This window comes from Homo sapiens, chromosome 2 (assembly GCF_000001405.40).
Source record: "Homo sapiens chromosome 2, GRCh38.p14 Primary Assembly".
In the NCBI taxonomy this organism is placed as follows: domain Eukaryota; kingdom Metazoa; phylum Chordata; class Mammalia; order Primates; family Hominidae; genus Homo; species Homo sapiens.
This window is the reverse complement of record NC_000002.12, coordinates 15,139,709-15,167,431: the sequence shown is the minus strand read 5'-3', so window position 1 is coordinate 15,167,431 and position 27,723 is coordinate 15,139,709. Positions and strand designations below refer to the sequence as shown.

The 27,723-nt window shown below is 45.1% G+C and overlaps 1 protein-coding gene across 11 annotated transcripts in view, besides 4 other annotated features; it reads left to right on the top strand.

Moving 5' to 3' along the window:
* NBAS (NBAS subunit of NRZ tethering complex) overlaps window positions 1–27,723 on the top strand; it is a 782,426-nt gene that overhangs the window by 393,903 nt on the left and 360,800 nt on the right. For 8 of the 11 annotated variants that reach the window (NR_052013.3, XM_047444734.1, XM_011510357.3 and 5 more), the window contains one exon: window positions 109–516. The exons of the other annotated variants lie outside the window; for them this stretch is intronic. Coding sequence is in view for 7 of the 8 variants with exons in the window: in XM_047444734.1 (XP_047300690.1) it covers window positions 109–384 (276 nt within the window). In the remaining variant the exon portion in view is untranslated. Of the gene's footprint in view, window positions 1–108; window positions 517–27,723 lie in introns of those variants that run through there. 11 annotated transcript variants of the gene reach the window in all.
* Window positions 24,432–25,631: an enhancer, noted in NCBI's record as "BRD4-independent group 4 enhancer chr2:15281925-15283124 (GRCh37/hg19 assembly coordinates)". NCBI's record gives its function as "activates an origin of replication core promoter dependent on BRD2, P300/CBP, MED14 and CDK7 cofactors, and independent of BRD4, by STARR-seq in HCT116 cells {active_cell/tissue: HCT116}" and the evidence as "EXISTENCE:reporter gene assay evidence [ECO:0000049][PMID:35650434]".
* Window positions 24,653–24,947: a silencer, noted in NCBI's record as "tiled region #9127; HepG2 Repressive non-DNase unmatched - State 21:Repr, and K562 Repressive non-DNase unmatched - State 22:ReprW". NCBI's record gives its function as "represses a minimal TATA promoter and a strong SV40 promoter by Sharpr-MPRA in HepG2 and K562 cells {active_cell/tissue: HepG2 | K562}" and the evidence as "EXISTENCE:reporter gene assay evidence [ECO:0000049][PMID:27701403]".
* Window positions 24,820–24,909: an enhancer, noted in NCBI's record as "active region_15345". NCBI's record gives its function as "activates an Ori minimal core promoter by ATAC-STARR-seq in GM12878 lymphoblastoid cells {active_cell/tissue: GM12878}" and the evidence as "EXISTENCE:reporter gene assay evidence [ECO:0000049][PMID:35858748]".
* Window positions 25,300–25,369: an enhancer, noted in NCBI's record as "active region_15344". NCBI's record gives its function as "activates an Ori minimal core promoter by ATAC-STARR-seq in GM12878 lymphoblastoid cells {active_cell/tissue: GM12878}" and the evidence as "EXISTENCE:reporter gene assay evidence [ECO:0000049][PMID:35858748]".

The window sequence follows — 27,723 nt, the reverse complement described above, 5'->3', positions numbered from 1 at the left end:
CCAGGGCATGAATGATGATGAAGGCAGCCCAGTGGAGAGCGAGGGATCCAAGGGGGAGGCGAACAAAGCAAACACCCCCTCACGCTGTGCCTGTCTTATTTCTTGAAGGTGAATGATTCCAATTGTGACCAAGAACTTCTTTCCCTGCTCCTGGATGCCAAGCTGCTGGTGAAGTGTGTCTCCACTCCCTTCTATCCACGTATTGTTGACCACCTCTTGGCTAGCCTCCAGCAAGGGCGCTGGGATGCAGAGGAGCTGGGCAGACACCTGCGGGAGGCCGGCCATGAAGCCGAAGCCGGGTCTCTCCTTCTGGCCGTGAGGGGGACTCACCAGGCCTTCAGAACCTTCAGTACAGCCCTCCGCGCAGCACAGCACTGGGTGTGAGGGCCACCTGTGGCCCTGCTCCTTAGCAGAAAAAGCATCTGGAGTTGAATGCTGTTCCCAGAAGCAACATGTGTATCTGCCGATTGTTCTCCATGGTTCCAACAAATTGCAAATAAAACTGTATGGAAACGATGAGCAAGCTGCCGCTTTTTTAACCTTTTTTTTCTTTCTTGTACTGAGTGGTGAACATATTTTCTTATTGATTAAGAGACTCTTCCTTCCCACCCTCCTTTTTTATTTCAACCTGCCTTTTCTGGATAGAATTCAGTTTATAATGTGTCCACAACTGTAGTTCAGCAAGTTGGATGTGCTGGTGGATGGGGTGGCATTAGGAAGGGAGGGAGTGTGCAGAATGCCTGGCGGTCAAGGCAGGTGTCATGGGTGGAGGGAGGGTGGACCTGGACTCAAGTTTCAGATTAGTTAAATGACCTCGGGCAAATTCTTCCACCTCTTTGAACCTATGTCTATTTTGTAGAAAAATAAGGGTGGTATTATTTGTCTCGTAAAGTTGATAAGTATTATGTGGGGTTGTGTGTGTGAGGCTCTATCAGATACACAGCCGGAGCTGAAGAAATATTAACTCTCTGTCCCACTCACTAGTGTCACAGTATATGAATTATGACCTTCAGGGCATAGCCAGATGATCAGGACCAATACATGATTGCTGTCTGATTAGAGGGCTTCAAAATTTATCAGCATCGACATGTTCAGGTTGACACATTTCATGTCCATAAACGTACATAGGCAGGTGGGTGGGGGAACAGAGCCAGCATGCACACTTATCACAGGTGGGATTGGCATCTTAGGGTTCGCTGATGTGCATACAGCCAATCATAGCAAGGGCGTGAATAGCAACACCCTTAGGAAAACCTCCCACACAAGGGGTGTTCCCTGTGATGGAGGATAAGGGTCCCAGGGCATAGCTTGCTGGCACCTGCCCCCACCACAGAGGTATGTGCTTGATGGTGGAGGCTCTAGACTTCGCCCCCCCTGAGACTCACACCTTATCGAAGCCACAGCAGCAGCCGAGGCACAGCTGGGGGAGAGCATCCACACCTACAGAGTGACCGGGGGGCCGTTGGAGGCATCCATCTACACTAAGGCGTGCTGGTCTTTTACCTCTGCCCCAAGAAATAATTTGGAGGGAGAGTGGCTGTGTATTAATAGGAAGGTTTAGTCTAGGTAGATGAGATGATATTACATCATTGTTATAGGGAGTAATTTGCACAAGGTTAAGTCATGTGAAAAGGCTACCTTGGATCAATTTCTGCATTGCTCTGTCAAAGCCAGCAGGCTGAATGTAACGGGGCTCCCTGGTGGTCTTTAACATACAGTGTATTGGGCAGCCTCATCTCCACACCTCCCCCTGTCCACCCCACTCCCACCGGTGCCCTACACACAACCTGGTTGGGTTCCCCATCTATTTAAGAATAACATCGCTTCGCCTTATAGTTTATCATCACCATCATCGTCGGCTTCACCTCATTTCCGCTCCTCTAGATGTAGCTGCAGAGCTGCAGAGTCCTCTGATGAAAGTTTTGGTCATCTTTGGAGGAGACTTATTATGTAATTGCTCACTCCCCTGACCTCCCACCAACTGTCTACCCCAAGATTGAGTTCCTTTCCCAATTCAGTAGCACCTAGAATTTGGGAATGGCCTGCACAAGCCTCTAGCATACTTCACAGGAAAGAGGACACCATATTTCTCCCAAATTAGGTAACACCTGTCCAGACAGACCCACGCGGCCAAAAAAGCTTCCTAGAGCTCTGATGGCACCGCCTATGTCCGATGGTGTGGGTCAAGCCACTCCTAGGCAGCATGCTTACTAGTAATGGGTTTTCTGTAACCTTGCAGCTAGCCTGCATCATTTCAGGTGAATGAAAACATTGAGTGAGCAATATTCTGAGAAACACAGTCTGTTATAACAGAATCCCTCCTGAGACCTTTTTCTTCAAATTGCAGTATTGCAGATCTCAGAAGTCATTTAGTATGACACCCTGACTTTATGGATTAGTAGACTGAGGCCCAGAGGGCTGGAGTGACTGCACAAAGGACAGCAGAGGATTGAGGGGCTCCACATTCCAGTCCCCCAGCCCCACAATGCTTATGAGGAAGGGATTCTCTCCTGGAAGCTCCATGGCTTTGACTCACATCCTCGTTTACTAGAAACCAAATTTAAAAGGTTTGAGCAGTTTCTGTGGGCGGCGGGGAGGGGGGAAGAGAAAAAGAAGGAACAACAAATAATTCACTCAAGAATCACACCAGTTGGAAAAATTCTCTAGAACGCTGCGTTCCTCTTTGTGCTGGTATTGAGAATGTTAACCATAAATGTTAGATGAAGGAGTAAGATGATATGTTGTCTTGCTTACAGTTAAAAGTTCCTATCAGTTATCCCAAACCTTTCTCTGAAAACAAATCAGAATAAGCAAGGGCTGCCCTGGCCCTCACTCACACTCAGATTCTATAGCTTTGCTTCCTGGGACGCGGCCCCCAGGGTGAGCCAGTGCAGGGTGAGAGCCTCTGAAGTCAGACAGCCGAAGTGTGAGCACTGGGAGGCCTCTCTCTCTGAGCCTCAGTTTTCTTACCCATAACTAGGGCTAATAATGCTTAAGTTACTAATTAATAAGTACTTTTCTCAATGTCACAAAGCTGGTAAGTAATGGAACCACAATGCAAACCCAGGTATGTAACCCTTGGCCCAATGCCGTGTTAACTTAAGTCATCAGAGCACTTCTAGGTCCCTCTGCTGAGAACCTGGTGGGCATCCTGGAGGGCATTTGAATGACACACTCTGCTCTATTTCCCATTTCCCTTTTCTGTTCAGGGACTGATAATATCATGGCCGAGGGAGATCATGAAATGTCTGTGACTTTTTCTAATTGTTAGCTGATGTCCCTGCCTTCCCAAAGGGCACACTCTATCTTTGTTCTGTTCAAGAGTTTTAGTACCGGGCCGGGCATAGAGGCTCACACCTGTAATCCCAATACTTTGGGAGGCCAAAGTGGGCAGATCACTTGAGGCCAGGAGTTCAAGACTAGCCTGGCCAACATGGCGAAACCCCATCTCTCCTAAAAATACAAAAATTAGCCAGGCGTGGTGGCGCACGCCTATAATCCCAGCTACTCGGGAGGCTGAGGCAGGAGAATCACTTGAACCTGGGAGGCAGAGGTTGCAGTGAGCCGAGATTGCACCACTGCACTCCAGCCTGGGCAACAGAGCGAGACTCTTGTCTCAAAAAAAAAAAAAAAAGTTGTAATACTGAAGTGTCTGAACTCCCCTGTTTCTCACAGAATAAGACGTGGGACCCTTCATCCAAACCTCCCCTCATACCCCAGATTTTCCAGAAGGTGTGTGCAGATTTGTCACCGTTAACATTCTCTGTAGACAATGATTATTATGGCATCACTTAGGTTACTAGAATAAGATTGAGTCAGGGACTTCCAAAGTGTTAGGATTCACTTTGAAGTCCATCTGGCCCAGTGGTTACCAGTCATGACTACATATCAGAATCACCCAAGGAAAATGTAACCCAGATTGAAGCCCGAGTCCCTGAGTCCCTCCCAGTCTGACCCATTCAGTCAGAATGTCTAGGGGTGGTCCCCAAGAGCTGCTTAACCAGAGCCAGTCAGGAGAGCAGGGTTTATGTCACTGGCTTCTTATCTCTTGTTGGCCATGTCTCTGCCCACTTGCTTTTCCCTCAGAAACACACAGAAAATGAAAGGATCCAAATATGACCCCCTTCTCCCTTCTAGTCCCACTCTGGAAAGGCCTGCTGGGAAGCGGGGGATGCTGGACTTGGCTTGGAAAGTGATGGATCTCTCAACTCCACTTCTCTTCGCCCTATTCTCACATGCGAGAGTGTGCAGGAGCTGGCTTTAAAAAGAAGGGACCCAATTTTTAAAAGAAGTGAGAATTCCCATTGCTTCTTGAACCTGCAGCTAGATTTAGATCTGGAGTGGAGGTCGTTTTCCCAGTCAGCGCAGCTCCCAGGGTCTGAATAGCGGCAGGCCCGTGGCACGAGATCTGTTGTTTCCCCTCACCTTGAGAACTGGGTCTTATCTTTTTGGAAAGAAAACTCATTATGATAAATGTAGCAGAAGAGCATTCAAATGCAAGTTTGCCCTGTTCTTTGGAGAGAGCCTGCATTTTTCTCCAGTTAGCTGCAAATGCAGCAGCTCAGTAGTCTAATTTAGCTCCAACAGCTGGGAATTCAGTATTTCTTCTTAATAACTTCAAACTCATTATAAACTGAAGATGGCACATACAATGAGAAAATAGGAAAATGAACTAATGGGTGTTCCAGAGCTTGAAAGGGAGAAAAGGAGGCTTCTTGTTTGAGTACCCATATTGTGGGTTTTCTCCGCACCAGCAGCGGTAGATACGAGAAGGAAGGCTTGGTTTCCTTTTGTTCTAATGAATCCAGAGTTCTTAGACTTGCGACTACCACTGCAAACTGGAGAGCTTTGGTGTTGCAACCTGCTCACAGCTGTGAGACGGGAATCAGGCACATCAAACTATTGCTAGCAAAATGAAAAATAACTCTGACTTTGATGCTGGTGTTAGACTACTGGAGTGTGAGTTTCTGCTCCCCCGGTGGCTGTCAGAGTTGTGGAAAGCTGCCTCCAGGCGCAAGACGAAGATTTCCAAAACCAGCCTTCAGCAATGGTCAGGTGATGAGGGAGCTAGGATGTGTGGTTCAGATGACCTAGGGGGGTTCTGAAGCTGGGGGTATCCTGATGCTTCACTAGTGAAAGGGGAGGGAGCCACACTGGAATTTCTACTCGGCCATGGGTCAATCTTAGGCCGGCAGATGGGATGCGTGTTGTCTTGACAAACAACGCGCCTGTTGCGGAGGCAGGGCTGTTTGGAAGAAAACACTGGATTGGAGTCAGGGGTCTGGGTTTGAGAGCTGGCCTGGCTAATACGACTTTAAGCAACTTTATTTGGCTTTCTCTGTATCTGTTTTCTGTCCACACCTCTCTGCTGTTGTTAGGCTCAAACAACAATAGTGTCAGGAGGAGAGTAAGGGAACTTGAAGATAAGGGGAATGGCTGGAGGAGAGGAACACTGAGGGAAGGTAGACTATAGGTATTGACCATCTGCACGTAGTGTGGTCAGGAAGTAGACTCTAAAATCCTAAGGTGACATCCCTAATCTCCCTCTTGTGCTCTGTTTATCTCTTTTGACACTTGAATTTTCAAGGACTCCCTACTACACCTGAGCTGCTTGAGAGATCAGGACCCTTAGGGTTATGACTTTCTGGGAGGACAGCAACCACTTGGTTTGCAAATCAGGAGACTTAGGTGGATCTCCTAATGCCTGAGAAAAGCTGCCCTGGCTGGGTGGAGCTCAAGCCACTGCAAGTTCCCCCATCTGGATGCAGAGCTGCAGGCCCGGGGTGAAACAACCCAGGCTCAGGTGTGGAGGCCACCGTGTAGCCAGGACAGAAGTGCTTTGCAAACTTGGCCTGCTTCTCCCTTAGAAAAGGGGTGAACTTTCTCTTCTGGACACTTGAAGTTCTCCTCAGCAGTACTGGTTACTTAGCGTTCTCCATGCCACACTTGCTTCCTTCATCTCTCTTTTCCCAAGTTTGTCCTGTTACTTAAAACTTACTTTCTCCTAGGAGACAGGAAAAGACATCCTCCTGACATTTGGTCAATTTGATTTTAGCTCGTTTTTTTACATCACCTTTGCTTTAACCGGGAAACATTTTGCTCTTTGCTAGTACTAGCAATGAGATAAGGTGCACTATACTGAGCGCCTATATGTGTTCAAAGTCTCTCATAGACTTTAGCGGTTAGCCACGAACCACTCCAGCAAGGGAAACAGATAGTATCCCCCACTTATATATGAGAAAACCAATTGAGAGGGGTTAATAAACTTGCGTAAGTTGTCCCTAAGAGTGAGAGTCAGGATTTGAACTCACATCATTCTGATTCCAAAGCCCAACTTTTGCTCAACTCCACACTCCTTGAGAATTCAGGCTTTCTTCGACTATGCTAATAGTCTCCATGACCATGAACTTGGATAAAGGATTGACCACAGCCAGAGAGGCAGCATCCAGTTATCTCCTTGTATAGAATGGATAATCCACCCCATGTATCCAGGATCTGTTAGGCAAAAGAGTTCTCTGAACCCTTTCATGTTACCTTCTTACTGAAATAGAACTTTTATCATCCTCACCCTGAGAATGGATGTTCCTGTTTAGAAAAAGACTTCCTTATCCCAGCTGACCTCACCCAGTTGGTAGAAATTCCAGTTTCCCCCATACTTAAACAAACATCTGTCTGAGCTCAATCTGTGCGCCAAAATTTAATCCTTGCAAACTCTCCCTGGAAAGAAAATAGGAAGAGATTGGTCAATGGGGGATTCCCTTGTGGGGTGCAGGCAATCAGAGATTGTGGATTGAAGGGGCCCTGGGGGATCACCTGGTCCAGCCTCCTGCCCCCCCCCCTCCCCCCGCCCACACTGGGACTTCTTGCTCAGTTTCCTGGCAGGTCCTGCATTCTCTGCCAAGGTTGTCTCACAAAGCAGCTTGTTCCTGGTGCAGCAGCTTTAGTTGTCTGAAATCTCCTTCTTCTATGAGCCAAGATGTGTCTCCTCCCAGCCCCGGGGTGTCCCTTAAGCCTCCCTGCTGCGTCCACAGGTGTGTCCATGCGTAGGGATCTTGCTCAAGCATCTTTGAGCCTCTCTCTCTCATCGCCTGCCACCCCAGTATGTCGGCCAAGTCCTGTCTGTTTGAATGCCTTCTTAAGCTGCCCTGTCTACTACTGTGGAAAGAGTCCCTGAGACCCCGGTGTTCATCTGAACCTGGCATTTTCTACCTGGTCTCCTTACCTCTCGTCTCTCCACTCCAGGATCTCCTCCCTGCAATCACCAGAGCCATCTTTTTAAAGCAGAACTCCAACCTTGTCATCCCCAACTTAAAGCCCTTGAACGGCTCTCCATGATCCACAGGATAAGCTCCTTAGCATGATAATCAAAGCCTTTTACATCCTGTCTGGATTGGTGGCTGCTTTGTACATAACATGCAATATAGCTAATCTTCACAATAATCTTATTGCTAGATTTTTGAAATGCATCTTACAGAGCATTGTGAGGCTCACAGAGATGAAACAATATCCCCAAATTGCATAGCCAGTAGGTGGCAGAACTGAGACTTGAAGCCATGGTTTCTCAGACTAAAATCCCTACTGTTTCCATTGTTCCAAGCAGTGTGTGTGTGTGTGTGTGTGTGTGTGTGCACGCGTGTGTGTGTGTATGACTGGTAAAAAATGCATAACATAAAATTTGCCAGTTTAACCCTTTCTTACTGTACAGTTCAGTACTGTTAAGTATTAATATTCACGTTGCTGTGCAACCAATCTCCAGAACTTTTTCTTGCAAAACTGAAATTCTACACTCATTAAACATCTCCCCCATTCTTTCCTCCCCCCAGCCCTTAATAACCACCATGCTACCATCTCTATGAATTGGACTACTCTAGGTATTTCACATAAGTAGAACCAGTGGAATCATACAGTATTTCTTCTTTTATGTGTGGCTTATTTCACTTAGCAGTGTTCTCAAGTTTCGTCCATGTTGTAACGTGCTGGTCCCTCCTTTTGAAGGCTGAATGCTACTCTTTTGTATGTATATACTAGGCTTGCAGTTTTTGAGCAGTAGTCAGCATCATAACACCTCGTTCATAACCTTCATCTATCCCAAACATGGGATTGTTCTATGACAAGCTCTCCCAGGGGTAACATTCTGGGCTCTGGACAGCATAGGCCTGAGCTGTGATGAAATCTATGAAAGACATCTGAACTGGTGAACGCGCAGGGCCTTAGTAGCCAGAGTTCCCACCTTCAGTGGAGATCCTGGGAGTGCAAACCGAAGGCCCCCTGTCCCTACCGGCATGCCCAGATTCCTCCCTACTTGTTTCTGATGCCTCTTCTCTTCTGAAGGGCAGAGGCTTTCAAGCCCCAAGAGCAAAGGGGTGGAAGATTCCTCAAGAGAAGGGCAGTGATGCCCACCTACACCAAGCCTTAGGTAGCATGGGAGGTGGAGAAATGTGGGTCCTGTTGACAGAGGACAACAATGGGAGGACTCTGGAAGGGGCAATTGTTTACTCTCACAACCAGCCACAGACAGCAGGGTGCAGGGGGCCTCTGGAAACACTGGGTTAGGGCACTGAGATGTCTACCCAAGATTCTCTCTGACCAACCGCCCCCATTTCTGTGCCTGCTGGTTTCAGTCTCCCCCTCCAGAAGGGCATTCTCCATGTGGCAGGGCACATGGCCACCTGGAGCCCTGGGGCCACATCCTCATGACTCAGCCACCAAAGAGGAAAGAGGAAAGGTGAGGAAAGTCGAGCCCCACCTTCACTGCTAAATCCTGGGCCCCGACTCTGGCTGGGTCTGCAGCCCTGAGGGAGGAAGGCTCTTCTACCAGAAGGAGCCGGAGAGGAGTTGGGTATCTGGGGCTTCGCAGCTGCCCTGATTGAATCCCCTTTAGAGAACAGGTAACTGGAAACCCAGCAAAGGAGGAATGGGAGGCTTATGCAGCAAAGACACCATCTTCTCCAGTTCTGCTGTCAGGAGGAAGAGCAGATTCCATGGCAGCCTCAGCATTGTCATTTACTGGCTGTGTAACCCCAGGCAGGGGCCTTTGTGTCTGCTGGCATTAGGAGGCCTCTCTCACCCTGTGACCTTTCTCACTTCCAGGCTTGCCGAAAGGGAGAGAAAAGCAACCCCAACCCCGTGGCCTTGTCATTACTTTCAGGAACACCTGCAGGAGTTGCCATGGCAACGGGATCCCACAGCCAGCTCTCCTGCTGTCTGTTCACCGTGGAGCTATGAGTTGTAGGGGCCAGAGAATTTATCAGAAAAGGGTAATTGCTGTTTCATTCAGGACTCTTGGTCCTGGAGGAGGCCTTGAGCTGGTCCATCCTAAGGGAATAAGGTCATTGGAATCAGTGCACGGGATGGCCTTGCAGGGTAGGGCAGCCACCGGGTCCAGAGAGTCCCCCCGGTTCCCTTGGGCACTGTCCCCATTCTCCCCTAGCGTGCAGAGTGGCCAGAGCCCGGGACTAGGAGCAGGACTATTCATATTGTTCCTGCAAACACAGTTTACAAGGCGCATGCTTGGCCTTGGATTCTCAAAACAATAATGTGATACTCTTATGTTCATTTTACAGAGGAGGACACAGAGGCAAGGGAGGCTAAGTGACACACGCAGGGTCACCTAGTCACAAGCAGCAATGCTGGGAATGAGAGCCGGGCATTTCCAGTCCAGACCCCTTCTTCTTTCCATGATGTTCCTCAGTTCTCCCTGCTCCCAGTTGTCATGACAGGGCTTTTGCTTATCCAAGTGACATTTCAAGACCACCTCTTCTCTCTAGGGCAAAAATAGGCTTGATGTAGCTTGTGATGAAATATGGAAATATTTTGCATCTGATATGAAAAAAAGGAACCGGTTGAACTTGGTGCCTGGTTAGTATCTTAAGACCCCGGGGAGGGGAATTCTGGGTGGTGGGGAGCAGCCCCAATAAGCAGAGCCCAGGTGAGGGTGTCATGCTGCGAAGACGGCCCTAAACGCACACTGGGAGCTGTGGAAGTTGCCCAGCTAAGCGGTGCCATGACTTGATCTGTATTTGTGAGAATTCTTCTGCTCTGGAGGGTGAGAAGGAGCCCTCCTCTTATGGTGTACGATAATTCTGCATTCTTCATTCAATGGGTAGAAGCTTCTATGGTTAATAAATTACACAAGTCACCTTGTGGGTCCTAGGGAACACACTCTTGGGCTTGGAATCCATCTCTCATGATCACTCAGTCCTGGGTTGATGGCTGTGGGGAACACGGAGGTGAGCATGATGCAACCTCGCCATCAGACAGCTGACACTCAGGCGGGAAAGACACCTTTGAAGCGATTTCCTTGGTGTGGTGGGGTGCAACTTAGAGCAGAGTTCTTAACTATGGGATCCATTGACCTCCTGGTTTGCATAGACAGGTTTCAGGTAGTCCAAGAAATTTGTGACATTGCATGTAAAATTATTCAGTGTATATGGAGTGTGTGTGTGTGAGAGGGGGGTGGGTCAAAGGGAGGGAGGATGCCTATGGCTTTCTCTGGATTCCCCAAAATCCAGAAAGGTTAAGAAACACTGAGTAAGAACCTTTTTGAGGGTGTTTTAAGTAGCTAGATTCAATACATAGAGGCAGCGGAAATTATGTTCAGTAGGGTTTGTGCCTGGCACAGGGTCTGTGCTTGGAAAGATAGCCATAGAGTTTATGGACTTGAACTCAGTTTCACAGTCCAGTTTAGCTTTTGCTGTGGTCTGGAGGATTTTGTGCCCCCTCCCCTAAAAACTCATATGTTGATATCTAACTCCAAAGATGATGGTATTCAGAGGTGGGGCCTTTGGGACGTTGTTAGGTCACGTGAATGGAGCCGTCACGAATGGGATTCATGCCCGTATAAAAGAGGCTTGAAGGAGGGTGTTCACCCCTCCCACCATGTGAGGATGCAGCAAGAAACCACCATCTATGAGGAACAGGCCCTCACCAGACGCCAAATCTGCTGGCACCTTAATCTGGGACTTCCCAGCTTCTAAAACTGTTAGCAATAAATACCTAGCCTCGTGTACTTTGTTATGGCAGCCTGAACAGACGAAGACAGCTTTCCACACAGACAGAGGAAAAGAGAAACAAACTTTGTGAAGCCAACCTCACACTCCTGTGCCTGACAACCTATCCCCCTGCCCTATAGGAATGCTCCCATCTCCCCACCTGCTTCTAGGAAGAGGCCTTGGTTGGGGAAGACCAGGGCCCATGGCTTGTACAGAGCTACTATTCCTGGCTGCAGCACAAACAATGCCGTCTTTGTCAGCATCATTGCCCTCCCATGGAGAACAGCCTTCTCTTACCTAGGCTAGCTGAGTTCAAAGGAACAATGAAAAAAAACTCAGAAGGCAACATTTTTTGGGCAGGAAATGGTTGCTTTTTATACCCGTCAAGTCTCTAGTGAGATTCCGAATGAAACCCACCACTATGAAAGAGAGTATGAAATAAAAGAAGCTTTTAAGACTCTGGGTTCTTCCTTGTTCGAAATACTTACCTTTCCATTGTGAAGCATAAGCCTTCTGTGAGCCTTGGCACCGAATAACACCCGGTGATGAGTTGTTATTGATTTCTTCTCATAGACCATCTGCGCAATGGAGCCAGGCTCTGTAGGAATGCTTACACAGTGGAAAGGGAACAAGGAAATGGGCTGAAACTTTTCAACAGTCAGTTTTATGTGTGTATGGCAATTACTTCTGCAGGAAGACGAAGGAAGATTTACTATGACTAGAAGTGCAGAGCCCTGTGAATACTGTGCCGTAAAATGCAGCATCCGGAACACAATCCAGCTTGGAAGTGTGTGGTGCTGCTTTTTGGAGCCCCAGCAGGACACCATCTGCTCCTGAAGTCAAAAGAAGGGTGACCTGATTCCCTGGAAGCCTTGAGGAGATGACCCAAGCTCCCAGGAAGGAAATAGGGCAGAGCTGGGGAAGAGAGGTGTCTTCAGCTGCAAGGGTGGTGGTCTTGGAAACTTCTACCAAGTTGCCTTAGATGGGAAACAGAATCATTCTCACTTTGCTTAAGTGCTTTGCACTCTCCTTTTCCCCAACACATTGCCTGTTGGGTCTTCCAATAAATGAGTCTCCACTCTCTTGAAAAAAATAAGAAGAAGCTCTTGTCAGAGATGTAGGGCAACTGAGCTAGCAAAGATTTATCAAATCCCTACTATGTGCTGCTCAAGCTGTTAGGGGCTTGACATACATATTTTTCTCTAGAACTTAATTACAAGAGGTAAAGATTTTCATCTTTATGTATAGATAAAAGATGGGTCAGAGATACCAAAGACTTGCCCAGAGATGCTAAGGACTTGCTCTATCCTTTAGAGACACTAAGGATTGCCAAATGTTGCTGTCTTTCAGCTTAACGTTCCTACCTAGCTTAGCATTCAGCTAGTTACGTGACAGAGCTCAAAAGCTGGTGCTTTTTGGCTAGGTAGTGCTCTAGTATTTTATACATTTAATTACTCATCAGCAACAAATTTGTAAACTCTTAGAACACTGGAAAAGTCCTTAAGAATCACCGGCTTCCACCAGCCTCTTCGTGTAGGGAGCCCTAGGGCTGGAGGGAGCAGCTTCTGCTTCGGTGATGCTGCTGCTCCATGGCTGGGGAGGTTGGATTGCTGGAACACTCACCTATAGCCTCACGTCTGATACTTCTCTTGAACCCCCCACTCTCACATTGTCCAGGGTGTGTGGTGCTGGACCCTGAGGGGCTGACAGTAATCAGTGCAGGGTCAGCTTGATGACTAGGGTTCTGGTGGCTTTTGGGGTGGAAGGATGTACTGCTCCTATATCAGAGCAGGGCTGGGCCCACCTCTTATTCTCAATAGAGATGAAAGGCTTGCTGCCTAGCATAGTTGTTCACAAATTCTTGCTGAGTTGAATCATGCAAGAATGTAGAAGGTACACAGTAAGTGCGAATGAAATGAATTCATGCCCCCAGATACTCAGAAACAACATTTTTCAGTCAGAGCTCTCTACAGAACAATGAGGCAATGGAGCTAGAAGTCACAGCTAAGAAGCAGACCACAAACCACCGATGTCTATGCAGTCTATGAAACCGAGGGGAAAACAACTCTGTCCCGCTACAGCATCATTCTCCCCACAGAGGCCCCCGATGAAGAGCCTCAGCAACCTTGCTCCAAGTCCAGCAGTGAGTTGGGGATAGAATCTAATGAAACTCATTTCCATCTGTCAACTTCTTTAATTAGGTGGGGAATTTCATTGACTGTCTCTGGACCTAGAGAGTACCCAATACATAATTTTTCAAACTTGGAATAAACCAAAATAAAAATATGCCAACTTCCAAGTGGATACATTAGCCCAGCCTCAATGCATTAAAATAATCATTATGACTGAACGAGGAGTTTGAGTAATAATCTGTGCCCTACATGCCAGAGCTGGCATGATATGCTTCACAGCCCTTTATTTCTATCTAGGCTTCAGAGTGCCAGCATCAAATAATGCAATCTGTACAAAATGCTACTAGCCTCAAGAGCCCTTTATTTCCAAGCTCCTAAAATCTTAATGATAACACACATTAGTACAGCACTGTTTAGTTTATAAAACACTTTTATGGAAATTATCTCATTTAATTTATTACTTACAAGGTTCCTATAACTCACAACCTCCCTATAAAGAATTACCTTCATTTTACATAGAAAGAGGCCAAAATTTAAGGAGATAAGTGAATTTTCCAAGGTCACGTAGGTGATAAGTAGTCAAGTAGATTCTGACTCCAGACCTTTCTATGATGTGTCCCATGACCAAGAGTAAGATGCCTGATTTTAGAGCCTATGCCCCTTTATGGGAATAACACGATTTAAAAATTTTAAGCTGGAAGAAACTGGTCCAGCTTCTCAACATTGTGTTCACTCCTAGAGCAATGTTGGTAGATGCTAATGCTAATGTTAGTTGAATACTTCTAGTGATGGGGAGCTCACTCTCAGAGAATGTCATTGCATTGTTGAACAGCTCTGATTGTTTGAAAATTGAGACAAAATCTGCCTCCATGCAATGCCCTCTCATGAGGCATAGTTCTCTCTGCAGGAGCCCACAGAATATATCTATTCTTCCACAAATAGCCTTCTCAGGGGATAGCACCACATTCAAAATGTCCACCTCAAAGCACATTGTGCAGTTCATTCTCCCCCATTTTGCTAAAAAATGTATTGTATCTGCCTATGGCGCATTTCTAAGATGAGTTGGTTAACATCTGCATCACTGACCATACTCATGTACCATGTGGCTAATCATCATGGGTAGATTTTTGACATCAAGCTTTGACATCAAGCTAACTGGGATGAAGTGTCTGAATTTTTGTCTGCCTCCACTTTTGGAAATTATTCTCTATTTTTCTGACTTGGAGGGGTTCTGTAAACCTTGGCAATTTCCTTCAGCATCTTGGTGGACAACCTGTGTGAGCCTAAAAAATGTTCTTTCACCAATTGTATCTCTAATTTCTCTCCTGCCTTACTGTGGATCTTGGCCCTAAATCTCTGTTCTCTTGTCTGCCTTTACTTCTGTAAAAAATATTCTTATTGGAGGAGAAGTTGAAAGTGAAGGGAGCGGTGCTCCATTCTTTGTGACACCCTCAGTTGTCTACTGACTATATATCAACTGTATACAGATTGGCTCCCTACTTGGAGGGAAGTCCACTTCTTGCTGCAAATATAACCAACAGGCCCCTTTGTTAATGTCTAAAGCAGGCAGTGTATGGTTATGTTAAAAGAAAAACTATAAACAAATTTACTAGAATTTATTTCATCAACAAACAATTCATGAACAGCATAGCACTCTAAACCAGGAGAGGTTCAGAGCGCTCCATAGAAAAAGGAAGTGGGATGCCGACACAGGCTGATTGATGACAGCTTGGCATTTACCTCATATGGACATGGACATGGTCTGATCAGTTAGCACCCTGTGATTGGCTGAAACTCGGCTGCTGCAATTGGCTGAGACTCAGCTACTTGTTACAAGAATATACTCTTAGCTAGATTGCAGTTTGTCTACATCCTAAGTTAGGTTGCAGTTTACCACTTAGGAATTCAAAGTGTAGAGGCAGCAGCTTTAGGCCAAATTTCATTTAATTTAACAATTCCCCCATTTTGGTCAGCATCTCAATTTTGAGAGATTGACCAAAATCTTGGGTACGGACGCCACTCTGCCACCATCATAATGGACTTGGTTAGTCTCAGTATGGAATTTACAATTCTCAACATCAGTCAGCTGACTTTTCTTTATGTTCTCTTTATGTTTTTGTTATTCTAATCATAGTGAAGCTACCTAAAACATTTAAGACTCTTGGGTGTGGTGGCTCATGCCTGTAATCCCAGCACTTTGGGAGGCCGAGGCAGGCGGATCACTTGAGGTCAGGAGTTCAAAACCAGCCTGGCCACCATGGTGAAACCCCCTCTCTACTAAAAAAATGCAAAAATTAGGTGGGCATGGTCACAACTGCCTGTAGTCCCAGCTACTCGGGAGGCCAAGGCACAAGAATCACTTGAACCCAGGAGGCGGAGGTTGCAGTGAGCCGAGATTGCGCCACTGCACTCCAGCTTGGGTGAGAGAGGGAGACTCTACCTCAAAAAAAATAAAAAATAAAAAAGACTCTTGAGTGGATACAGCACCAAGGAGACTATTGTGATGGCTGTCAGGAGGATAATACTAGGAGACTGAAGAAACCTCTTTAACAGGAGCCCCCATGAATCAAACTGATCAAAATCAAATATATCGAAAATGAGCCAGAAGAAGAATCTACTTATTTTAGCCAAGTACCTTATCTGTTAATTTCTTACAACTGAGTTTCTACGATACCAGACCTATTTTTCTATTATAAGTTAACTATCACACACAGGTGTTAACTATCGTACACATTCCCCTTGGTTCAGCCAACAGGTAGTCCAGAGCCATTATGTGATCTAAAACAACTCTAGTAAGAGAATTTAAAGAAGTTTGCTGGGAAGTGATAGCCTTTGCAGTTGAGTTAGCTATTGTAGCTGTTTGGGCAGATTTCTAATCATAAATTCATTTACATTGATGCCAAGCCACAGGAGCATTCTACCAAAAGATGCCCATTTAGATGGGTTTGTGCCTGCTTGTGAATTCCTCTTTACTCCATAATGAAAACTAAGGGGTGTAGACCAAGGTTTGGTTTCCAGTTGGTTATGGAGTGATGGTACCATGATTAGAATTCCTAATCCAAATTGGCCCCTTGTTTTTCACTTATTGAGACATGGGGTTGCCCACACTTATGATTGATCATTAAATCCTCCACAGATAAAAATATATCCTGGAAGGGCACAACAGAGAATTCCCTGTGGAATGTCTTATGCCTTAGGCATTATCAGTAGGGAAGCACTAGTAATATTTCTCTACGGCTCCATTATTGAATTATTGAATGATTGGAGGATATTGACAAGTACGGAATTAGGGTTATAAATTTGTCTACACACCGTTGAATTTTTTTTGTTTTCTTACTCAATTTCTAATTTCACCGCAAAAGTTCCTCACTATAGGTTTTGCCTACTCTTAGATTCAAACAAGAAATCTGAATGTAAGACTTTAAGAACCTAAAGGAGCAGATGTGCACTTTGAGCAATAGTCACAGGTTGGACTATCAGTGAAATTTGTCACAGAGCGAACTTTACAGTGACCTTAGAGAATCTCTAAGATCATGTAAGGATTTAGGTTAAACATGACATATCCAATATTCACTTAAGCTCCCTATGGAAGCTATTGATTATGAAATCTTAATTATCTCATTATCATATAATGTATAAGTAGAAAAGAAACACAGAAAAAACAACAAAAGGGACAAAGTTTTCATGATGACAGAGAAGTCTTGATAATAATACTGGAAGCTTTAAGGACTCAGGAAGGGCCAGGTATCAGTCCAGACTCTCCGTGAGTCCAAATTTAACATTGGATTTACATCCTCTTAAATACCAATTTTGTTTCTCCAGCTCAGGTGCACAACATTGTTTATTAAATAGGCTATCATAGGTAATCTGACTTGGATTAATCTTATGGAGTTCTCAAATTGCATATCTTAAGAGTTTCAGTACTGGGTGACTTAGCATGAAAATCTACCAAAGCATTTCCAAGGTATTCAATTAATTATTGTTCTCCTTGATGTTAGGTTAGCAATTTTATGAGCCAATCAATTTCTTCATTAGCGTTCTGAGAATTTTTCCATAGTCCAAAGGTATGATCAGGTTTCTAGGAATTTCATACCATTTCTGGAACACATATTAATAACACATTCATGCAAATGTAACCTCAAGGAAGTTTAGGATTACTTATTATTTCACAATGCTTCCCATATAATTAAATATCTTAAATAAGCCCAATTAGTTTAATGTCTTTTTTTTTTTTTTTTTTTTGAGACAGGGTTGCCCAGGCTCTGGAGCACAGTGGCACTACCATGGCTCACTACAGCCTCAACTTCCTGGGATCAAGCAATGCTCCCACCTTGGCCTCTCAAAGTACTGGGACTACAGATGTGAGCCACTGCACCTAGAGAGAGATTCCCTTTGTATAAACAGAGAGTCTTTTGAGATGTTCCAAGAGCCCATGTGCAAAATACCAAAGTTAATTCAAGATCAAGAAAAATATTTAATTTAGAATTTGATTTTAGGAAGTTTGTCAAAAATCAAGAGTTTAAAACCCTTGATCAAAATAGGATCAAGGCTGGGTGTGGTGGCTTACACCTGTCATTCCAGCACTATAGGAGGCTGAGGTAGGAGGATTGCCTGAGCAACATGGCAAAACCCTGTTTCTACCAAAAATACAAAAAATTAGCCAGGCATGGTGGCACATGCCTATAGTCCCAGCTACTCAAGAGGCTGAGATGGGAGGATCACCTGAGCCTGGGAAGTTGAGGCTGCAGTGAGTTGTGATCATGCCACTGCACTCCAGCCTGAGTGACAGTGTGAGACCCTGTGTCAAAAAAAGAAACAGAAAAATAAAACAACAAAAAACTAAACCAAAACCAAAATAGGATCAGAGGTTACTATAAAATAATAGTTGTCTTAGTCTGTTTTGTGCTGCTATAACAGAATACCTGAGATTGGGTAATTTTTAAAGAACAGAGATTTATTTCTTGTAGTTCTGGAGGCTGGGAGATCCAAGGTCAGAGGTCCACATCTGGCAAGAGCCTTCTTGCTGTGTCATTTTATGGTGGAAAGCGGAAGGGCAAGAGGGCATATGGAGTGGGGGAGCAGGGACAACCTCATCCTTTTATCAGAAGCCCACTCCTGTGGTAACAGCATTAATCATGCATGAGGGCAAAGCCCTCATGAACTAATCACCTTTTAAGTGTTCCACCTCTCAACACCGTTACATTGAGGATGCAAGTTTCTAACATATGGACTTTGGGGGACACATTCCAACCACAGCAATAGTCATTCATTTAACCATTTAACTGGAGTGATAATTAAATGGCTTCGAAGGCAAATATCAAAAGGTTTTTTAAAGTACACTCTATTAAAAACCTTAACTCTTAAACTGAGAGGACTCAGTTTTCTTAAATGTCGAAAGCCTAATAAAGACAACATGAAGCATAGGAAAGTATTTTGGCAAACACAAAATCTTTGTTTCCTAGGCCAATTACCTAGAAAGTAAAGAGAAAACTATCATCATTTCCTATTAAGAGCAGAACAATACTCCAAGAAAGCCTTATTGTTTTAACACAGGGCACCAAATTCTAGTTTTGCATCAGTGTACTTGCGATATTAATTAATGCTCAATTTTTTAAAAAAATTATAAATAATTTCCTTCTATTCTTAGCCAGATTGTTTACACATAACATTTCTTTCACAAGTTTAATCTTCCGTAAACCTCCTATCACATTCCTGTCCATTCAGTTTTTGTTTTGTTAGGGCGGCCAACCTTCACCTGAGCATATTCCCATTCCTAGACTTCACACAGGTACCACTCTGCACGTGGAATGCCCTCCCTTTACCTCTTTGTTTCTCTATCTTGTTCTCCAAAATTTAGGTCATTCCTTGCCTCCTCCCGGAAGCTTTTCTTGACATCCCAGACTGAGTTTCAGGCCCTGCTCATTGCCTGCCCCTCAACTTAAGTTTTTGTTGCAGAGAACCACAGTGACCACTGATAACTCTCTTTCTCCCCTACTAGATGTGGCCTCTTTGGTGGCAGGGCCTGGGTCTGACTACCCTTTGGGTCTTCAGCACATGACACTGTGCAGGGAATGACACTGTGCAATAAGAGTTTACTAACAAATCAAAGTCATCTTGGGTTGTACCTATGATTGGGGTGTGCAAGTGAATATTTAATTGCTTTCTGACTGTCTCGTATGTTAATCTCCTCCTCCCAGTCTGGTTGCCAAGGGCTCAGGGAACATGTTTGGGGGTTCTCTGTATCCCTCTTTCCAACCTGGTTACCAGGGGTGCAAGAAGCATGTCTGGGGATCTCTGCATCCTTTCTGTCCCCAGCACAGAGCAAGGCACCAGGAGGTTCTCAGTTCTCCAGTTGAACGTTTGCAGTCTGAAACACATTTAGCCTATCTTCAGGCCCTGGGGTGAAGTCTGCTGAGTTTTCTTCATCTGAGCCTGCTGTCTTAAACTCGACAGGAGACCCAGGAAATGAATTGTTTACTCCTAATTCAGTCATGAACTGATGTGATAATTATGCCTCTCAGCGTTCCCAGCAACGCATTTTGCAGGCTACGTAAATGAGAGATGATGAGTAAAGGCGGTCCTTAGAGCCACATTTGCTGAGCAGAAAGGGGGCAATTGCCTTAATATGTTTAGTCCAAGGAATCAATTAGCTACAAATTAGGGTTGAAGGGGCCTGGAACATCTCTTTTTTTAATTTTTTTTATTATTATTTTTTTGAGACGGAGTTTCGCTCTTGTTGCCCAGGCTGGAGTGCAATGGTGCGATCTTGGCTCACAGCAACCTCCACCTCCGGATTCAAGCGATTCTCCTGCCTCAGCCTCCCGAGTAGCTGGGATTACAGGCATGCGCCAGCACACCAGGCTAATTTTGTATTTTTAGTAGAGATGGGGTTTCTCCATGTTGGTCAGGCTGGTCTGGAACTCCTGATCTCAGGTGATCCACCCGCTTCAGCCTCCCAAAGTGCTGGGATTACAGGTATGAGCCACCACGCCCAGCCCAGAACATCTCTTCTAATCAGTCCTCTCTGAATAGAAGTTTCCTAGATAATAGCTTCGTCAGACCTGTGGGACAGCTGTTTAGGGTGCTGGCTGCACCAGCCTCCATTCCTAGAAATGTTCTCCTTTTCTTGAATACAATCCTGCCTCCCAGGGACATTTCCCTACCCGTCTCAGGTCTGCCCTCTAGGGCTACCCAGAACAGTTGGTTTCCTTAAGCATGCAACTGCTTTTTAGATGCTTGAAGACAGCTCACATTTCCTAAATGCACACGATAACAAGGGATGTTACTGAGAACCTGTGGCAGGGTCCTTCCGAAGGGACAGACAGAGCAACCCTGTCCTCGAACAGACACAGCGGGTAACCAGCTCAACTACTGGTTAGCAGGATGTAGGCTTTTTATTTAATGCAGGTCTAAGAGTCATGTCCCCTGCCCATGGCAGGTGGCACACAACCTTCTCTGCACTTGTACCCATTATGTGTGGGTCGTGCTCACTCTGTTGTCTATTGACAGCCCCAGTGATGCCTGCCATGTGGGGCTCCCTGCTGAGCCTGGCCCACGGGGATAGGGGCCAGACCTATACCATCTATCTGCTCTGCCATGTGTTCTGCGCTCTGAGAGGTGCTCCCTATTGCTCCCTGTCCCAGACTCACTGCATCCTGGGTTCTGGTTCACTTAGTGAATGCCTGGGACGTTCTTCGGGCAGGTCATTCTCACTGGACATGGCAGCCTTGCTCATCTGTCCCCTTCATTTATGCCACAGCCCCTCTCAGCCCCTTGTGGTGAGCAGCTCCCAGACTGCTTCTACCCATCTGCTTCTGACTGGGGGTGTTGGACTTTCATTGAGTTTTCTTTTAAAATTGCCTTTATCAGCCGTCTGCAGTCCATCATCACAAAGGTTTCTTCTGGTCTTGTAGAAGATATGCATCACATTTTATCCTGAAATCAGATTTAACTCAAGATGACCACTATTGCCATCCTTAAATATGTGTCATGAATAACTGCCATTTTAAGTGCGTACTAGGTACCAAACAGGGCTTTAAACACCATAGTCTATTTATTCTTTACCACAACTCTATGAAATAGGGACCACTATCATCTCACTGCACAAATGGGGACACTGAAGCACAAGCATTTAAGTAACTTGCCTTGAGTCACACAGCTAGTGAGTGGCACAGTTGAGATTCATACCAGGCCAGCCAGCCCCTGACTTTGAGATCTTAACCATTGCTTTCTGTTGTTCCAAGGTGGCAAAGATGTTTCTCTGTTTTACTCATTCTCAACACTTAGAACAGTATCAAGTTCACGCTAGATACTCAATAGATATTTTTCCAATGAGAAATGGAAAAATGAATGAATGAAAGAGTGTTTTCTCCAACTCAGGGAGTCTCGAAGAAAGCATTCACCTTATGTTTAGATGGGTGGCTCTCAACTTCGAGCATGCATCAGAATCCTTCATAGAGCTTGTTATAACTCATGTTCTGGGCCCCCCACCCCAGAATTTCTGATCCAGTAGGTCAAGCCTGAGAATTCTCATTTCTAAAAGTTGCCAGGTGCTGCCGAGGCTACTGGTTGGTGTACCTCATTTTGAGAAGCTCCTGTTTGGAGTAAAATTCCATCATACTTTTGCAGCAGGAGTGGGAGCTGCAGTAAGAGGGCAGGAGCCAGTGACTCAGTGCCCAGTGGTCTGCCCAGTCCAGGCAGAGACAAGCCTGGGACTCAGATGCTCCTCTTCCTGCAGCCTCTAGGACCAGCAGCCAGTGCTGGTCTGAGTCTCACAGTGACCAGGTCTCAACTGGAACTCCAGGTTCAGAGTGAAGATTAAACCATAATAAAAGCTTTCCTTTATAAATCACCCACCATACACTAGGCATGAAGACACACACACACACACACACACACACACACACATACAAACAAACACATACATCTCAATGCATTTTTGCTGTAATGGCATATGTGTGGCCCTAAACATCCTTGGGTTCTTTAAGATTGCGTGTAAAAGCACAGGGCTTAGAGGAAAATAGTTAAAGCAAGCCACTCAAAATCTAGTAACCGCAAAGCTGACAAAACCAACTAAAAATGAGTAATGAAAACACCAGCAGAGTATGTAGAATGTCACTGGTATGTGTACCAGCAACACAAGCAGTCTATTCTTTGCCACCTTAAGCCATGGGATGTGTACGTCCTCTTTTGAGATTAGGTTGTGGAGACTGCTTTCTATCTAAATTAAAAATTGGATTGAGGGTGTGGCCGTCTTCATTAGCCCACTGTTTTACTACAGGAGGATTATCTCTACTCATAGCTACACCAAATAGCTTAACCTCATGGAAAGCTTAGTAGTTCTAGTAGCCTCTAAGCCAGCCACTTTGCAGTAAAGAAAGGCACTTCTGCAAATTGTCAGCTTTTACCTTAAGGCTTTATATATTGCTATGGCCTTCTCTTTAACTGTGAGAAAGTTGCCCTGCCCCATTCCTTCAAAACATGCATGTGCTAAAACCAGATCTCATAAACCAACGCAACCACCTGTATCGTAACATATGGGACTGTTTCTGAGTTGGCAAAGCTTGGATTTGAACCCAGAGCTGACTGCGAAGCCCATGCACTTTCTCCTCTATTCTGCTGCCTTTTTTTTAGAGGATAGATATGCAAAAACAAAGCCAGTGGATGTGTGCTGTAGTGATGTGTTCGATAAAAAGTGGCCAGCAATGTGGCCACTCAGAAGTACCTCTGCCTTGGATGGGAGCTGCTTGAGGGCCAGGATTGTGTAGCGACTCCTGTCTTCCCCAAAGGACCTAAAAAGTGCCTCACGCAGAGAAGTTGCTCAATACACATTTTATGAATGCAATTGTATCTGAATCAATAGTAATAAACACAAGCCAAACATAAAAGTCATTCTTTCAGGAAACAAACATTATATTTTATTTAATAGGCTGGGAGGTTGATGGGGATGGAGAACATATTTGACACTTTGGTCTGTGTCAGGCTTTCCTGGGTTGAGCCTGGAAATTACCTTGGTGCATATAGTTCAGGAAGGTTTGCCAAGGCAGCCATACTCGGGCTGTAGGAGCTGGGACACAGCCATGCTACACAATTTGTGGAATGCATGTTGTCTTTTGACACTGTGTGTGCATATGTGTTGGGGAGGGACCGTGGGTGGGCCCTGGGGGCCAGGCTGTGGAGTCACAACAATGTGACAAGGTGTATTAGTCAGGTTTCTCTAGAGGGACAGAACTAATGGGAGATATATATATATATATATATTTTTATATATAGGATAATATATATATATAGTATTAACTCACACAACCACAAGGTCCCACAAGGGGCTATCTGTGGTCTGAGGAGCAAGGAGAGCCCGTCCGAGTTCCAAAACTGAAGAACTTGAAGTCTGATGTTTGAGGGCAGGAAGCATTCAGCACAGGAGAAAGATGTAGGCTGGGAGGCTAGGCGAGTCTCCCTTTTCACATTTTTCTGCCTGCATATATTCTAGCCATGCTGGCAGCTGATTAGATGGTGCCCACTCAGATTAAGGGTAGGTCTACTTTTCCCAGCCCACTGACTCAAATGTTAATCTCTGTGGCAGCACCCTCACAGACACACCCAGGATCAATACTTTGTATCTTTCAATCCAATCAAGTTGACACTCATTATTAACCATCATACGAGGGGTGTGTGGAGGTTATGTAACCACCACTTGCAAACCTCCAAAGGGCTGCAGAGGGACACACGTGCTCTGTTTGGCTCTAAGGGCAGGACGAAGCCCGTGGGTGGAGAATTCATCCAGTCCATTCAGAGACCCATCTCACAGACATGCCCTTGTTTCTAAGTTGTTTGTGTTTGTTCTGAGTTTCATGTTCGACTGACTCTTCAGTGAAATCACAAGGGCCTCAGGATCAAAACTGCTCCGTCAACCAGTGTTGGATTTGCAGCGGCCCCTGCAACATGAAGGTGCTGAGGGTATGGGCTTCAGAGTCAGACAAACTCCAGGTGGATCTCAGCTCTGCAGACGCGGACTTGCTGCAGGACCACGGGCTCAATGAGCCTCTAATTCTTGTTTGTAAAAGAAGGATCGTAATCGATTTCACAGGGTTGTTTGTGAGCCTTAAGTGAGATAAAGAATTGTAGAAAGGGGCTGAGTACCTGGTCAAGCCCTGTAGGTGGCAAAAAGGGGTAAATGATAACAGTAGGCTTCCAGATCTTCTGATCTATTTGGGGTGACAAGACACGCTGAAAGCAGAAAATAACCAAGTACATATTTCAACGGGCTGATGAGTGAGTAGTCTAGAGAATACTGCACGGACCAGTTTGTTTCTTTTGCAGAGCTAGTGTTCCAAAATGACTTGTTGCAGGAGGTCAGGATGACTCTTTGGGCACCCTTTGCTCAACCTTTAATTATAAAAACTATTAGCAAAACGGAGGGATGTTTCTTTTAACGTTTCAACATCTTCCTTGCCCTCATCTGTACGCTAGATGTAGGTTCAAAAGTAAAGCAAAGGTGCTCTTAAGATATCTCTTGAGGGGATGTGTGTTTCTATCCATGGAATGTTCCTTATCTCCCCTCTCCATCATCCTCTGCAGAGATAGACAGAGAGCACTTGAGAGGAAGATGACAGGAAGACTTTACAGCCGGCACCGTGGAAATAGCCCCTTCGGGGAACAGGATGTGGCAGGGATAAACCTGTATTTGGAGTTTTTAGCAAGGCCCAGCAGGATGACTAATGCAGGAAGGTGCCAGTCAGGGAGCTGGCAGATGTCTCTTCAAAACAAGGGGAGCGTTCCCTCAAATATTTGCCTGTCAGCCTTGCGGAGGCGACCATTTTTAGCTCTTCAATAAATTGTCCCTTTGTGGCAGTAGCAGCTAAGCCTCCTGACGTCATCTGCAGGAACCTTATTTGGTTTTGTTGGGGAAGCATTTCAAGCTGAGAAATGCACATGCCTCCTCCCGGATGTGACATTCATCTGCTGAGCTCAGCCCACACACCTGTGCCTCTCAGCAAAGCCACATGTGCTGTTTCGGGCAGAGGTTGACAAACGTCAAGGCTGGCTGCTCTCAGTTGCTCTATTATCTCCTTCCTGCTGCTGTCTTCCGGTTCCCCTCATTTTTCGTGCATTTGCAACTGTTGACAGGCTGGGTTGCTGAGGGTGGTTACCTCTGACATGCACTCCTCCTGGCATTTTCTGAATATCATCGTTCTGAAGTGTGTGTCCCCCAACACGTGGGTGGAGATGAATGGGTATTCCATATTCAGTGATTGGAGGTAATGCTGGATTTATTCTCTGACATGAATTTTGTGATTGTAAATGTCACAGACTCACACTGTTTTTAAATATGTTTATGACTTCAGAGTCAATGGGAATCTGAATTTCAAGAGCTCATTATTTCTCTTTCCAGGAAGGGGAAAACAAAACCCGTACAGACATAATAACATCTGCTGAGTTTATTTGGTGCCTGACATCAGTGATGTTGGATTTGAACTGTTCTCTAGCATCCCCTGCCCCTTTTTTATTGGGGGAAAGGGTATGATCTGCTAAAGAAAGCACAGGTTTTGAGTTCTAGTCTCTCCACTTTGCCTGAGTGCATGAGTGGCCCCTACGGTAAAAACAAAAAACAAAACAAAACAAAACAAAATTGATTTTGCTGAAAATGAGCAATATGTTCACATTGTGCATCAAATATCTTGGTTTTGTATCAAAATGAGTCTAGCCTTTATAAACCAGCATGCTAACTCTTTCCTCAGCTTCAGTTTAGGGGTTAATTGTAATGTTTAAAAACAGAATGACATCGTCTCAGGCCTCTAGAATATGGAGTAAGAAACAGATCAAGAGAAAAGGGCTCTCCCCAGTCCAAGCTCTGCCATTCGCTGATGCTACATCCTGGATAAGACCACGAATCTGCCTGAGCCTCACTGTTGTCGTCTGTAAAACGGGTGCTGTGATTGCCAACTCACTGGGCAGTCCCCGGTACTAAATGAGCTAGTGTGTGTGTGAAATCACTGAACTCATAAGATTTGCTCATATACACATGTTGGGTTTAAACAGAGGAAATCTCACCATAGTCTAGGCCAATTCAAAATTGTAGAGCTCTGCAGAGGGAGCGGGAGAGGAAGGAAAAGAGTGAAGGAGGGAGGGAGAGAGAGGGGGAAAAAGAGAAGGGAAAAGGGGATGGGAGCGAGAGAGAGACAGAGACAGAGAGACACTGGATTTTTCCTAAAAAATCTCAAGAAAGATATTTCCTCCAAAAGAAATACTTTGCACAGAAATAAGACCATTTCAGATCACACAAGAATAATAGTGTACATTTATTGAACACTTACTAAATACTGTATCCTATACATTTTCTCTAAAGAAGAATCCCCTAGTTTTCTACATGGAATGGGGATAAGCCTGGCTTGCAGGTAAGTCTCAAAGAATTTCTGAAAAATGTATGTTCAACCTTATTATGAATGTATTATACCATTTAATGCTCAAAACAACCCTATTTAGTACAAGTATAATATTAAATGTATTTCACATACTTTTTCACTTCCTTTCTGGATTACTCATGACTACCTTTTAGGTCACAATCAAGGTTAAGGTAGAAGCATCTGCCCCAAGGACCCCATCTAGCATATCCACCAGGGTCATGTAGAATTCCTGCTGAATTCACCTTTGGATTGCTGCAGACATTTCTGCAATTAAAAAGTAATAGTTCTTCCTGTTTGAATAGCATTCCTTTATATTTACCAAATGCTTTCCTGTACAAAATTTTATATAACCCTGAACAAACCTCTGTGAAGCAGATATTAATCTCATTTGCAAATGAGAAGCATAAGAACTATGTGAGTTAAATGACTTGGTTAAGGTCACCAAGTGGTAACACTAGGATTTGAACCACAGTTATCCAATTTGATGTCCACTTTTCCTACAAACCACCCCAAATTTAGGGTTGTCAACCAACAACCCGTATATTATGCTCACAGACCCTGTGGGTCAGGAATTTGGAAAGGTCATGGTGGCAACTCTTTCTGCTCCATGTTGTCTGGAGCCTCTTCTGGGAAAACTGAAAGGGTGGGGTGACTTGACAACTGGAAGCTAGAATTATCTGAAAGCTTGTCACTCACTTGTCTCACGGTTGAGGCGGGCTATTCACTGGAACCTCAGTGAGGACTATTGGTCAGGGCACTTACACGTGGCCTCTCTATGTGGCTACTTGGGCTTCCTCACAACATGGTGGTTGTGTTCCAAGAGCAAGTGTTCTAAAATGAGGTAGGCAGAAGTTGTGTCACCTTTACAACCTAGCCTTGGAAGTCATATTGCATTACATCCACCACGTCACCAACCTACCCACATTTATGGGGAGGGAAACAGACTTCACCTCTCTGTGGGAAGAATGTCAAAGTCACATTAGAAGAGCAGATGGGATGAAAGATGTTACTGCGGCTGTATTTGAAAATACAACCTGTTACCAACTACTGTACACTCTACTGAAGGAAACAGGGCTGCCTTATTGATTTCAGGAGACTGCTTTAGGAAAGGTTTTCTGGGAGAAAAAATGGAACCAATGTCCTTAGTGCCTGTCTCGTATCTTCTATTCTCAGATGAAGGACTACTAGGGGAGGTGA